Source organism: Homo sapiens, chromosome 12 (assembly GCF_000001405.40).
Source record: "Homo sapiens chromosome 12, GRCh38.p14 Primary Assembly".
NCBI classification, from domain to species: Eukaryota; Metazoa; Chordata; class Mammalia; order Primates; family Hominidae; genus Homo; species Homo sapiens.
The window spans coordinates 16,617,784-16,632,209 of record NC_000012.12 but is presented as its reverse complement, the minus strand read 5'-3'; positions in this window follow the sequence as shown (position 1 = coordinate 16,632,209).

Below are 14,426 nucleotides of genomic sequence, written 5' to 3'. Positions count from 1 at the left end.
GAGATCTCATCTCTAAAAAAAAATACAAAACTTAGCTAAGCGTGGTGGCAAGTGTCTGTAGCCCCAGACATGGGAGGCTGAGAAGAGAGAATCACTTGACCCTAAGAGGCTTAGGTTGCAGTGAGCCAGTATCACACCATTGCACTCTAGCCTGGGTGACAGAGTGAGACTCTATTTCAAAAAAAAAAATATATATATATATATAATATATATTGTATATATAATTTTATATATATAATATATATTATATATATATAATTTTATATATATATAATATATATTATATATATAATTTTATATATATATAAAAGATTTTACCTGCCTACTGTCTTCCACTGAAGTAGCAAGTGAAAGAAACAGCTACTATCCTTTTATTCCCAATATAAATTCTTGCTCATTCTGTGCAAGGGAGGAGATGTGATAAATACATTCTTTTTTCAGAGAGCAAAAACTTACGTCCTTCCCAGTTACACAAATTGGCAGTGAAGTAGAATAAAATGAAGGATCCACCATGTTGCTTTCGCTTTCACCATTAGCATTAAGTTAACAGTTGCCTGCTTTTAGGAAGGTCAAATACTAGAAAATTAAATAAGCTAGGGATGAGAAAAATTTAAAATTCACCCCAGACCTGCATGAAATCTGGCTGAATATATTCTGACTGGTTATTTTGTTTAACACATTATTTACTGTGAAACACACGGAGTCTCTGGGAAACTCCATTTCAGTTCTAAAATAAATGTAACAGTACTAGTACCCATAGAATTTTAAAATTTCCAAGTTATGTGTCACAAACTTTGTAATTTTTAGGTACAAGGGATTAGAGGAGAATGTTAAAAATCAAGAGATAGCTGGGCATGGTGGCTCACACCTATAGTCCCAGCACTTTGGGAGGCTGAGATAGGAGGATCACTTGAGGCCAAGAGTTGGAGACTAGCCTGGGCAACATGGTGAAACCCCATCTCTACTAAAAATACAAAAATTAGCCAGGTATGCTGGCACAGGCCTGTAGTCCCAGCTACTCAGGAGCCTATGGCAAGAGAATTGCTTGAACCCGGGATGGGGAGGTTGCAGTGAGCTGAGATCACACCACTGCATTCCAGCCTGGGTGACAGAGCAAGACTCTGTCTCAAAAAAAAAAAAAAAAAAAAAAAAAAAATCAAGAGACAAGAAAAAATATGGGGAGAGTGGGAAAATAAGGCAAAATCAGGGAAACTATTTTCCATTATGACAACCAATCAATCATAAACTTTCATTGAAATTCTCCTTAATAGACTAAAACACAATGTTTTTGTTTGGATATACCTGTATTTATTTATTTATTTGTTTGTTTGTTTGTTTATTTATTTATTTTTGGTGACAAGTAGTTTTCCTGCTAGATAACTATGATCTTTACTCACGTAACTCTTTCCCAAACTCATAGATTTCTATCATAGAGATATGGGCCTTGGGAAATTCTCTTCTTTTTCAAGTACGTTTGGCAAAGCAATGGGCACAATGCTTTTTCTCTGTCCTTCTAACCTCATTTTTGCCTTCTAACCTCGTTTTGCAAAAGCAACATGGTGGATCCTACATTTGACAAAGGCATGGGCACAGTGCTTTTTCTCTGTCTAGCCTCATTTTGCCATGTCCTGGCCATCTTCATGTCAAAGTATTCATGTCCATTCTCAAAACAATGAATAAATAAAGCTGTCTTAACATTATAAATTAAATCTACTGTCCATATATTTTTTAGCCAAATACTCTGCATAAAGTTTTGAAGTTATATACATTGCATTTTTCAAAAAATGATTTTCAAAGGATCATACGTTGTTTTCTCTGGATCCTGAAATTTGTACAATTTACTGATATTTCCCGTGATATGTGTTTGACTTGTGAATTGGAGCCTACTACTCCGAGTGGGTTGCCCTGTGAATGTGGACCCGCACAGGATCTAGCCCAAGATTCATGTAGAGGGGCTCTACTGGGATTTAGTGCACCTTTGAGCAAAAATATCAAAGTACAAAGTGTGGAGGCTATTGGCCCATTGTGGCCTGTGGGGGTAGTGAGAAGTCATTGTGGAAATCCTCAAAGACGAAAATCTATTTTGTGTTGTGATTAAATCACAGGAGGATACACTAACCTAATGTGCCCAATGGCAGCTCCTGGCCCATATCACAGTTCTAGAACCTGGGTGAGGTACTGTGCAAAGATTTTTATTCTAGAAATCAAATGGTTGATTCTAGGCTTTACTTTTTAGACAAAGGTATCATCTCTGACAATGTAGATAGACTCTCTGAGCTCTAGTCTTTTTATTCACAAAATAAAAACTATACCTGGGCCATGAAGTGGCTGTGAGGTCTTAAGCAAAGTCATGTAAAGAAGTTCACACACAGCAAGTGCCTATAGATAGTGCTAACCCCTCTTTTTTCCCCTTAAAGCATTTCCCTAGAGGGGCTTATGAAAAATTCCAGGGCCGGTTCACATTTGCAAGAGACAGAGAAAGAAGCTCATTAAAAAACAAATCCCTGCTTCTTAACGAATGGCATAATATGGTAGGAGGATACACACCAAAGGTGGTGTGGACTCATGATGGAGGGCCATATAACTCGCTGTGATTATTCATTGTGAGGCATGGAGTCATTGGAGCTAAGTCTGGGGCGGGTGATCATTTACCTGAGAGCAGTATTGAAAGGTAATAAAAGAGGAAGTAATCAGATCAGATTCAGATTTTAGATAGATAATTCTGGTAGCAAAATAGTTCATAAATTGGGGAATGGAAGCAAGAGTGAAAGTGGAAAGCACAAAGCTGTTTGTTTGTTTGTTCATTTGTTTTTGAGTCTGCCTCTGTCACCCTGGCTGGAGTACAGTGGAGTCATTTCCGCTCACTGCACTCTCTGCCTCACAGGTTCAAGCGATTCAGGTGCTTCAGCCACCAGAGTAGCTGGGATTACAGGTGTGCACCACTATGCCTGGTTAATTTATGTGTTTTTCGTAGAGACGGGGTTTTGCCATGTTGGCCAGTCTGGTCTCGAACTCCTGGGCTCAAGCAATCCGCTGGCCTTGGCCTCCCAAAGTGCTGGGATTACAGACAGAAGCCACCGTGCCTGGCCTAAAAAGCACAGAGTTTAATAGTTCTCTTGAAGAATACCAAGAGCCTGAATGAGAACAATGACAAAAGGGCAGACAGACAGATAGAAAGTAACATCAGCACTTGCTTTCTAGTCCTGTGGAATAAAAGGCATAAGGAACATAGGAAGAGAAGTTTTGAAGGAAAAGAGAAAAGATATCACTGAAGACTGAAAAAAGCCAATGTTTTTCATCCCACCCACCTTGTTTAGGTGATCCATCCTTCCTTCCTTCTTTCCTTCCTTCCTTCCTTCCTTCCTTCCTTTCTTCCTTCCTTCCTTCCTTCCTTCCTTCCTTTTGTTTCTTTCTTTCTTTTTTGTGGGAGAACAAAATTGTCGGGCACAATTTTGGTTCATTGCAACCTCCGCCTCCCGAGTTCAAGTGATTCTCCTGCCTCAGCCTCCTGAGTAGCTGGGATTACAAGCACGTGCCACCACGCCTGACTAATTTTTAGTAGAGACCAGAGTCTCGCCATGTTGCCAAGGCTGGTCTTGAATTCCTGGCCTCAAGTGGTCCTCCCACTTTGGCCTCCCAAAATGCTGGGATTACAGGTGTGAGCCACTGTGCCCGGTTGGTTTAGGTTAAATTCAGATTTTAAACATTTCTTGTTTACAAACAGAAAATAATAGCTCAAGACTTTAGAGATTATAGTTTCTTCAATATTTAAGGGGTATTATATATGTCAATAATTAATGAAAACAATATTAAAATAATATGGTGTTAGGCTATGGATAAAATATTCATGTATTCTGGCCCTAAAACCAAAATATGTGGTTTGATAATAGACTGTTTTTCTTCTTTCTCATTTGTGAAGTTAATTACACAAAAATAATTCAAAAGGGAATTACCTTTTGAATTACCTTTATTTTAAAAAGAACATTTTTATGAAATCTAAACTGCACTGGAAACTAACCATAGAAGAATTGATCACTTAAACTTAAAAAACACATTTCAGCATAATTTTAGTCATAAAACCTTCAACCATTTTATGAAAAAATATCTGTGTTTTTCTGGGACTGAGCTAAACTTCATTATCATCACTGTCTATTTGAACCCTACAGTTTGAAAATAACAGTGTGATTCAACATGCTAATGTATGTTATCTCTTAAGACCAGTTCAGATATTAATGTTATTAGCCAGTGAATTAGTCTCTTTCCATACCTAGTCTAGGCGTTAAGGATCCAGGTGCTGCTTGTACCACTCTGATGCCACTTGGTCCACAGTGGCTTTGGGTGAGTAATACAAAATTTTTGTTCTAATTTTATTTGCTTCTTTTTTTCTTCCTAGAGAAACGTGGAAATCCATACAATGTCATTTTTCATTTTAGAAGCTGTAACCTAATTGCACATGGCTTGTCCTGCTAGTCTATATGTCTTCATATATTTTGAACTGTTTGTTTTGTTTGTTTGTTTGTTTGTTTTGAGATGGAGTCTCGCTCTGTCACCCAGGCTGGAGTGCAGTGGTGCAATCTCGACTCACTGCAAGCTCCACCTCCCGGGTTCACGCCTTTCTTCTGCCTCAGCCTCCCAAGTAGCTGGGACTACAGGCGCCTGCCACCACACCTGGCTAATTTTTTGTATTTTTAGTAGAGACGGGGTTTCACCATGTTAGCCAGGATGGTCTCAATCTCCTGACCTTGTGATCTGCCCACCTCGGCCTCCCAAAATGCTGGGATTACAGGCTTGAACTGTATTTTAATGTATGGCCAGTCCCAGATTTTATTAAAATATTTAAAGAATTATACTACAATATATTGTAATATTTTCCACATGTCAATTTTGTTTCTACTATAGTAGACACACAGAAATACCTAAAACCTGGGCAAATTAAAACGTAGGTCTATCAGCTTTTAATTTCAGTAGTTACATAGGAAAGCTTACATGCACAATTAACCTCTGTCATTGAACCATGACCATGTCATTTAAGTTGACCATAATTGCATCATGTGGTTTCACTGATATTCTTAGAAATTTTTAAGGAGTATATGAGATGACAAAATAATCCTCAGAAACTCTTCAAATAAAAACTTCCTACCATAGGAAAGTCAATGCTTAAGATGACTCTATTGCACTAATTTTAATAACATGCATGATTACCATTTTTTTAAAATTTTATCATTAAAAAATTTTAAGATGCCTCTTTCCCATGCAATGAATTCAAATACTCTCAACAGTTATCCTGGGCAACAAAATTTGTTCTACTGAGTTATATTATTTTATTCCAAGTCCCACTGAAAATAAAATTGATCATGCAGCTGAGTTATGGTCACTATAATTTGCTTCTTACAGTTATATCTTAAATGTCATCCATACTGTCTCAAATATAAATTACAGGATAACTCTTTGTTCCTTCTTCTCTGCCCTTATTTTACTATTGCTTAAAACTTTCAAATAATCACACTCATTTATTTAAAGCTTTGGGGTTTAATATAAAGCAGAAAACCAAACCACATAACCACAATGACACTAATTCAATGGGTCATTGAATTGCTAGCTTTGCCAGAGAAGAGAATCTTCAATGAACCACATTTGGCATGTCTTTTGCAAGAGTTTCTTTGAAAATGGAAAATAATATTTGCATGTCATGTTTTAATGACATATAGAAAAATCTAGAGTGATAATGAATTTTTCACTCTACGCAAAATTTCAAAGTAGAACTCCTTAAAATCACTTTATTGTATATAGAATAAAATTTCATTTGTAAAAAAATCAATTTCTGCACATTTTCAGAAATATGTCTATTATAAAAATGAGATAAAGTTATAACTGAGTAGCAGTTGAGATGTGACAACAATTTGGTTATCACATATAGTCTGGTTGATTAGACTGTTTGGCTCTATTTGGCTTGTATAATCATGATAGAAAAGGAGTTAAAAGGAACTCAAAAAAATTAAAAAATTAAAGAAAAGAAATGCTGAGGTTTCAACCCTTGAATTTTGAGGAAGCGTTAGAATTGTAGTATCATTGACAGGGTGGGCAAGTCATAGAGAGAGTTTCACTTTTTGGGAAAATGCCATAAGTTTGATTTGTGTCATACATTCAACAAAGAATGTTTAACAGGCAGTTCAAAATAATAAGTACCACTAAATAATGCTTTAAATTTAACAAAGTACTTTTGTAGTTGTCATCTCATTCGATCTTCACAAAAACGCTATGAGTTGATAGGACAAATCTTATCATAATTGAATTCATTTCATAAATAGATTTAGGAATGGAAACAATAGATTTGAGGAAAACACAAAATATTTCAACCCTGGTGCTTTTACAGCTTTTGATACTTTGAATCTCTATTTATAAAAATAAGTATTTTATCCCAGCCTGGGCAACAAAGCAAGGTCCCATCTCTACAAAAAATACAAAATTCAGCAGGGTGTGGTGGTGAGCACCTGTAATCCCTGCTATTTGGAAGGCTGAAGTGGAAGGATCAGTTGAGCCCAGGAGGCTGAGGCTGCAGTGAGCTATGATCAGTCCACTGGACTCCAGCCTGGGTGACAGAGCAAGCGCCTATCTAAAACAATTTTTTAATAAGATAAAATAATTTATCATTATTGAAATATTTATAAACTTTATTGGAAGGTTATTTAGAGTAAATCCATGAACCAATTTAATCCAATGGTCAACTTCTTACAGACTATAGTTAAATAATTTCCTCTTGTCAATTACCATTTTTCTTTTACTGAAAATATTTTAATTTTGATCAGTAAATTTTATGACAGAAAGCTGATTAATCAATCAGTTTTGCTCATATAAAGATGTCTTAATGTTTAGACTTTCTGATTGCTTGCTTTTGGTGATTATTCTACTAAGACAAATTTTCCTGGATAGAACATTATAGATGAATATTTCAATAAGATCTTATACTATATCCAATTTTATTTAGTCACATTTTATTTCTTGTGCAGTTATAGTCCTTCTGTTTTATTTGGTGTTGATTATTCCTAGCGATTTCATTTATTAGGGTTCACCCAACCAAAACACTGTTGGGGTTAAAATGGTAGCGTCAAAACCGAGATTGCTTTGAATTGGGTGCTATCTGCATTTAGTGGGTACTTACTGCAAAATCTGAAGTAATACTCATTTTAGGAAGCAAAATGAAAAAGATGAAACAGAAAAGGATTTTGGATCACTAAAATTTAAGCCTCATATATGGGAATCTCTAGCAACCAATATTTCTTCAACAGATTATATTTTCTACATCATTGCACTTCTTTTATGCTAAGAGGTAATGAGTGAAACTTACCATCTCAGACCAATTGGCATGGGGCAGAAGTCCTGAATTGAATGAGATAGAAGAAATCATTTCATTGGTATAAAGAATTTCAGATGAAATTTTTAACATTGAAAAATAGATGGAACACAAGAAGTAGATGCAACCAGATGGGATTTCAAAAGTACCCACTTGGATTGGTGAGCAAAATAACTTGGCAATAACTGTATTCAAGTTTTGTTAAGCCACCACTGAAAACGTTTAATACCCTAGACTACTTTCTTCACCTTTTCAAATAGAGTAATTCCATCCCTTTTCAAAGAAGAGCTCCCATTCTTTAGCAACAATAATGAAATTTGTATTTAATATATGGAGATATTAAGGCATTAAGGTGATTAGGGCGACACCATGAGAAAATAAACCCTTTACTCAGAAAAACTAGAGGGGTAAGAGTTTTAGAGTTACAAGTTTTAGAGTCAGACATGTACATTCAAATGCTTTCTCAACCACGTGAATCTCTTATGCAAGTTACTGTCTCCTTCAAGTCCTCAATTTCCCCATTTATAACTTGGAGATGATCATAGTTCTTATTTCATAGGTTTTTGTGAGGATTAAGGATGATAGTACAGAATATTTAGGCCAGGTTAAGCAACACATTAGATATTTAGTGAATATTATTTAACTAAAGTATACAATAATACATGTTTTTAAAGTTTTTTATATGTTCAAAGGACTATGATGTAAAAGTTTTACAGTAAATCGTGACTGTTATTATTATAGCATCACTCTCTGTTAGTATAAACATGGACTATAGAATCTAGAAAATGGTGTTATAAAATACCACCATCCTACATGCTACAAAAATATGTCATTTTAAAAATACACTTGTGAAGGGAAACCATAAAGATTTTTACACAAACATCTTCTAATAGAAATGATTTTGTGTTTTAGCTTTGTCAACATACAGCAAGTGATATCAAATATTTCCTACATTGTGTTTTAAATTCAATTTCAATTTCAAATTATCATTCTGAACTGTATATAAGATTTTACAAAGTAAATCTTTTTATATTCATTTTTGTAAATTATACTATATGTATTATCTCTACAGGCCTTTAGAAGGATTTTTGCTATTTGTAAGTGAAGTAAATTTTCAAGCTCTTTTGCCTAGAGTAGAATCTTAGTTTCATAGTAAAGTACAGAATATTTCTTAGCCTTTATGTACACAGAGAATTGTTTTAAAATCAAGAGAAACAAATTATGATGACAACATGCTGAAGAAGAAAATTAAAGCTTTACAGGAATCAACCTAATCTTACACTTTCTATATTAATCCATTGTACTCTTGAATAATTGTAAATAGATATCAGAATTACAGCCAAATTTAAGAAGCCCTAAGTTTTTAATTATTCCTCAAAGAGTAATTACATTGCTTGTGAAATATCAGTGCCTCATAAATATATTTTTAAATAGATCAAGGTGATAAAGAATGCATAAAGTAAGAAGGGGAAAAATAAACTAATGAAATAGACAATTGTATTTGAAGTAGTCATTTCTAATTACAGAAAACCTTCATTGATATCTTCTACCATTAGAGAAACCAAACAGAATTAAGTAAAACACAAACCATATACTCTAATAAGAAATGCAGATTTATTATTTTCAAATTCACAGTGTACATTTAGCTGCTAATAAAAGCACTTCTAAGTAACAGTCTTTCATTGCGTGCTTTAATAAATAGGTGGGAATCATTTGAAATTAGACCCATTTGTATCACACAACGTGTTAAAATCTTTAAAAACGGCTTGGTTAAAAGCCTCAAGCAATCTTGTTTACACTATTAGCAAATCCTTGCTTCATAGATCATACAAAAGTAAATTTCAGCCTTGCCTAGTTCAAATTATCATAAATTCTGAATTATATTCAGCATTTTAAAGCTGGAAGGGACCTCAGAGATCTTCCAGTGAAGTCTACAATAATGAGATTTTCCTGGCTGTTACATCTAAAATGCATGCCATATGTATAAACAAATTCTAAACATTGTTGACTATTTTCAAAAATGTTAGTGACACTGTATTGTTACTTCAAATGGTATATTTTTTCAAACATATCAAGAATTTCATGAGCTATTCAGAAACTTTTTGTCTGCATGATTTAAAATCATTAGCAGTGTGTTGCATTGTTTGTATTCCTTGCTTTATCATTTTGTTTTCTTATCCTACTCAGCTCTAGAAAGTTCAGGAAAATAGTCTTTACACTAACAGTTTGACTACACAGTATATACGAATAACATAGCCAACAATTTCAAGAACTTGTAAAAAGTCAAACCAGAACTATTACACAGATCTGAAATCACTAGTGGTGGGAGCCACCATGTGGCTTTCTACACACATGAGAGAAAGCTTACAATTTCACTCCAGTACTCTGTTCTGCTGAAGTGTATTTTATACTGGGAGGAAATCAGAGAGGCCCTTGTATGCAACATACTGCAGTTGTATAACTACACGTTGCAAGTTCCATGAAATTGGCTCTCTCCTTGCCAGCCTCCTTAAGTGCATATTCTAGTTCTCAGATACTTTTCTAGGACCTTATGGGAAATTTATCAAAATATGCCATCACTTCAAGCAGGAAGAAGTGGGGCTTTTGTCATTTGGACACCATCTGCCCAGTCACCGTACTCCCTGATGTAACCTACTTTATTTATCCATGCAATAAATACTTACAGAGCAACAACCAGGTACCCAGCATATGCTTTGTTGCCAAGAGGAATGCAAAAGAAATGTTAGAGTTTCTGACCTCAAAGAGTTTTAAATCTGATTATGGAGAAAAATCACACTTTTGTGATGCAGATAAATTACAATGCATAATAGTCTGCTCTAAGTGCCAGAGGCAAGGTACACTTAATGTTTCAACAAAAAGAGGATCAGTACAGACTCAAAGGCAAGAAGATACTCTGTAGAAGATAAATCTGGATCTAGATCTATTAGACTGGGTAACATTTTCTAAGGCTGGACATTCCATGTGTAAGAAATATCTGTGTCAGGAAGTCAAGAAAATAACTCTTAAAGTGCAAAATGGCTACTCTCTCTGCCATTACACTACCAGTACATGGTGGCTATTAGTCATACATAATTATTTAATTTAAAATTAATTAAAATACAGGCTCACTTTCTCAGTCACACAAAATATATTTCAAGTGCTCAATATCCACATGTGGCTAGAGAGTAGAGTATTGTACAATGCAAATTGAGAACATGCCTATCATCCTAGAAAGTTATTTCAGACAACTCTATACAGTATTTACTTCACAGCAAGATCAACCTAAAAGAAGTAGAAGACTCAATTCAGGACACAGAAAACTTGATTTAATAATCAATGAGCCAAGACAAAAAAAAAATCCTGCATGGAAATTCCACTGTGGATGCAAAGCATATTTCAGCACTCCATAAAGCCTATATGTCATGTAGAACTTACCTTCTCAGAAGGATGGACCAATTAGTATGAAGGATATGGCATATAAGGAGGTAGGAAAGGAGGGGAATGAACTAGCTTATTTGGAGATGCCATATATACAAATGGGAAGTAGAATAACTATTTAGCAATGTCCAAGGGCAAGAATATGAGCACTAGAGAAAGGAACAATAGAAAGCAATTTATGGATCTGACAAAAGTTCTGTCTTGCAAGTATCAGCTCATCTGTAGACACAGCTAATGCCTTAGATTGCCGTAAACTTCGGGTGATTTGTCTGTAAGAGTAAAAGAAAATCTAAACTAAATGGCTGGAGGAGGAAAGAATTAATAGGGGCAGAGGAGGAGGAGGAGTTATGAATATTCTGTTGCTTCAGTCGCCTCATTGTGTTGAAAAGGATAAAAATCTGGGAAGAAGAATTCTAAAGTAAGAAACATTTCTTGTACACCATCTCTGATGACCAGAGATTACAAGCACTCCTTAGCTCCCAGTACATTAGGACATTGTAACCTCCCTTTTTCTTCTTTTAATTATAATATTTACACATTTATACAGAGTATCCTTAGCCTCCCCCCCCCCAATAAAAACCTTGTTTATTGTTTATTTCTAATCATGATGCTATCTGGTAATATCCAGGGGAACCTAGACCATGGAAACACCCTCTTGACCATGTTATCGGTTGTGACTGAGATTTTAATAGGTAACTAACAGGGCCCAATTAGTTGAATTAAATCTTTAATAACCACAAATTAACGTTTACATATTTCTCACAATCCCTGGCATAGCTAACTGATTAATGAGGGAATTTGGGTGACATTGTATGTGTGTGTGTGTTTGTGTTGCTAATAATACTTAAAGAATTTTTAAAGATGTGGCAAATTTTAGAGCTGAAAAAATGCTAAGAAAAAATATAGTTTAAGACATTTGTGTTAATATATAAAAAACTGAGGCCTAAAGAACTTAAATGATACCCTTATAGGTACATAGTTTGATGACACTTATGTGATCCTATGTCCTAGCCTAATGTTTCTGTTTTATTACACTCTGATATTAGCTGTGCTATTACTTTTAGTAGTCAACATATTAGAAACAGCTCAACTATCAGTTCTAATCTTGGCTAATCAAATAATATGTGATTCCATTTAGAGTAATTAATATATTTAGCCACAAAATCTATATATCTTGATGGATATTTCTAAGCACTTTTATGAATATATACCTATCTTCGTTTCTTGCTTTATCCTTGTCTAGAGTTGCAATATTTGAAGATGGATAATCAGATGCAAATTATTAGCCAGCACAGACAGAAATGCATCTAAAACCCTTCCGCTTGGCAGGCTGTTACACTGATGGCTTCTAAAGCACCATGTCTCATAGTATTCACACTCTGGTATAGTTCTTTCCCATTCTAGGCTTGGCCATGTGACATGCTTTGCCCAACGGGACAGTGGCAAGTGTGATGCAAGCAGAAGCTTGACAAATAAATACTTGTACACTGGGACTTGTCTTCTTGGCATGATTCTTCTTGGCAGCCAGCTGCCATGCTGTAAAGAAGGTTGAACTAAAGGGGAACTTTATGGAGGAAAGACCCTGGAAGATGAGGATATCTTAGATAGTCCATGACCAGCAGAGACCTAACTAAATGCAAGCACATGAATAACCTCAGCTATAGCACAAAAAATAGAAAACCACCCCAGCTGAGCACAGCCAACCTAAAGCTGCTTCTTAATTTTCACTTTGTCATATCATATGGTAATAACATAAACACAATAGACTCCTAAAAGTATAAAACTGTATATTTTCCTTAAGCAGCAATTATGGAGATAATCAAGTATACCAGCCCTATTTTTTAATATTTTGAATGACTGGGCTCTATAGGAACAACTCTAGTATTTCTTATTGGAGGAAAAACAAAGGTGGCTTGGATCTTTGAACTATTGCTTTAAGATTTTACTTTTTTTAACTTTATGGAATTTTTTTAAATTATAGGAACTCAAAGAGGATTTAGGAAGAGCTTTTAATACAACAAGTTTTTAAAATTTGATATTTGTATCTTCTAGTGAAGACAGTTATGTATTTAGGAGTAAAGGTCTCAACATTGTATATTTTTGCCTCAGAATACATCTTTTTTGATCTGGCTAACCATCATCTTCATTGCTATTGACAATTTATATGGTTCTTCATTAGTCACTTGTATGGTTCATGTATAATTCTGCTCATGATTTTATACTCTTATGTGACTTTGTTGGTAGTATTAGCTGTTCTTTGCTTATATGTAATCCTAAACTAAAAACAGTTAGAGAAAAGATATTTCTTTATAATTTTGCCCTTATGAATGTCTTTACCAAAATTTACCTGAGTTACATGGTGCAGTTTTTCAGAATCTAATGCAACTTCTAAAGTCACTTAGGCAGTGAAGTGGAGGTGTTAACTAACAGGCATGCCTCCAGAAAGGTGATGTCAAGCAAATTGGGGAAATACTTTGTACTTTTGCAGATTTATGATGAATTTTCATATATTAAAGGTGATGAGAAGGTAATTACACTAATTTTGTTCTTCAGATTTACATGGTTACAGAAATGTTTTCTTGCCAAATAGGTTATAATTGTTCAAGAAACAAGCTGCTTACAGATATCTTAAAATTATGAAAGCCAAAAGGGTCTCTGTTTTACTCTTTCCAGAGCTGTCTTTACTAGTGGTCGTTTTGGGGTAAATATTCTTAAGTACCTACTGGAAAAGCTTCCACCTTCTATGACATGCCTCTGATTCCTCTCTGTCATTCCTCTTCTCTCCTGTCATCTTTCTTCTCTCTCTCTCTCTCTAATATTGCCTCTCTGGCTAGCCTCAGCAGTGTTGCTCTCCTTCTCCAAGTTTAGCATTGGTTGACCTCAGGGATTTCAAAGCTAGCTGATCATCAGAATGACTAGATCTTTTGAAGAATAAAAAAAAACAAATATGAGTTCTGGGGCAATTCCTTCCCTGGGATTCTGAGTCAGCAAGGGTAGTGTGGGAATAGTAAAACGGCTTTGCAGATTTCCCCAGATAAGTCTAAATGTAAACCAGGATGGTGAACAACTGGTCTGCCTCCAAACTTTACTGGCCATAAGAAGAAATGTGTTTTGGACTTCAAGCTTCTCCATAAAGAAAGAAAAGAAGAGATATGATAACTAAATGCAGTGCCTGATGCTGAATTGTATCCTGGATGGAGACAGAATGGGGTGGGTTATAAAGGATCTTAATGGGATAATTGATGAATTTTGTGTATGGACTGTGAATTAGATAATAGTATTTTATGGATGTTAAGTTTTTCTGATTTCTATAATTGGGTTTTAACTACTTCAGAGAACATAGAGATTTCATTTTTTGCTCTTGTTTTCCCAGAAACACATGATAAACTATTCAAGGGTAGAGGGGCACAATGTCTCCAATGTATTCTCAAATATTTAAAGGAAAATTTGCATGTATGTATACATATGAAGAGGGAGACAGAGATTTATAAAGTAAATGAGGCAGCATACAAATAATTGTTGAATTTGGGTAAATGGTATATAGGAGTTTCTTGTACTGTTTCAGCAATTTTTCTGTAAGTTTGAAATTATATCAAAATTTATTGTTTAAAAAAAAGCTTTACTGTAGCTAACTAAG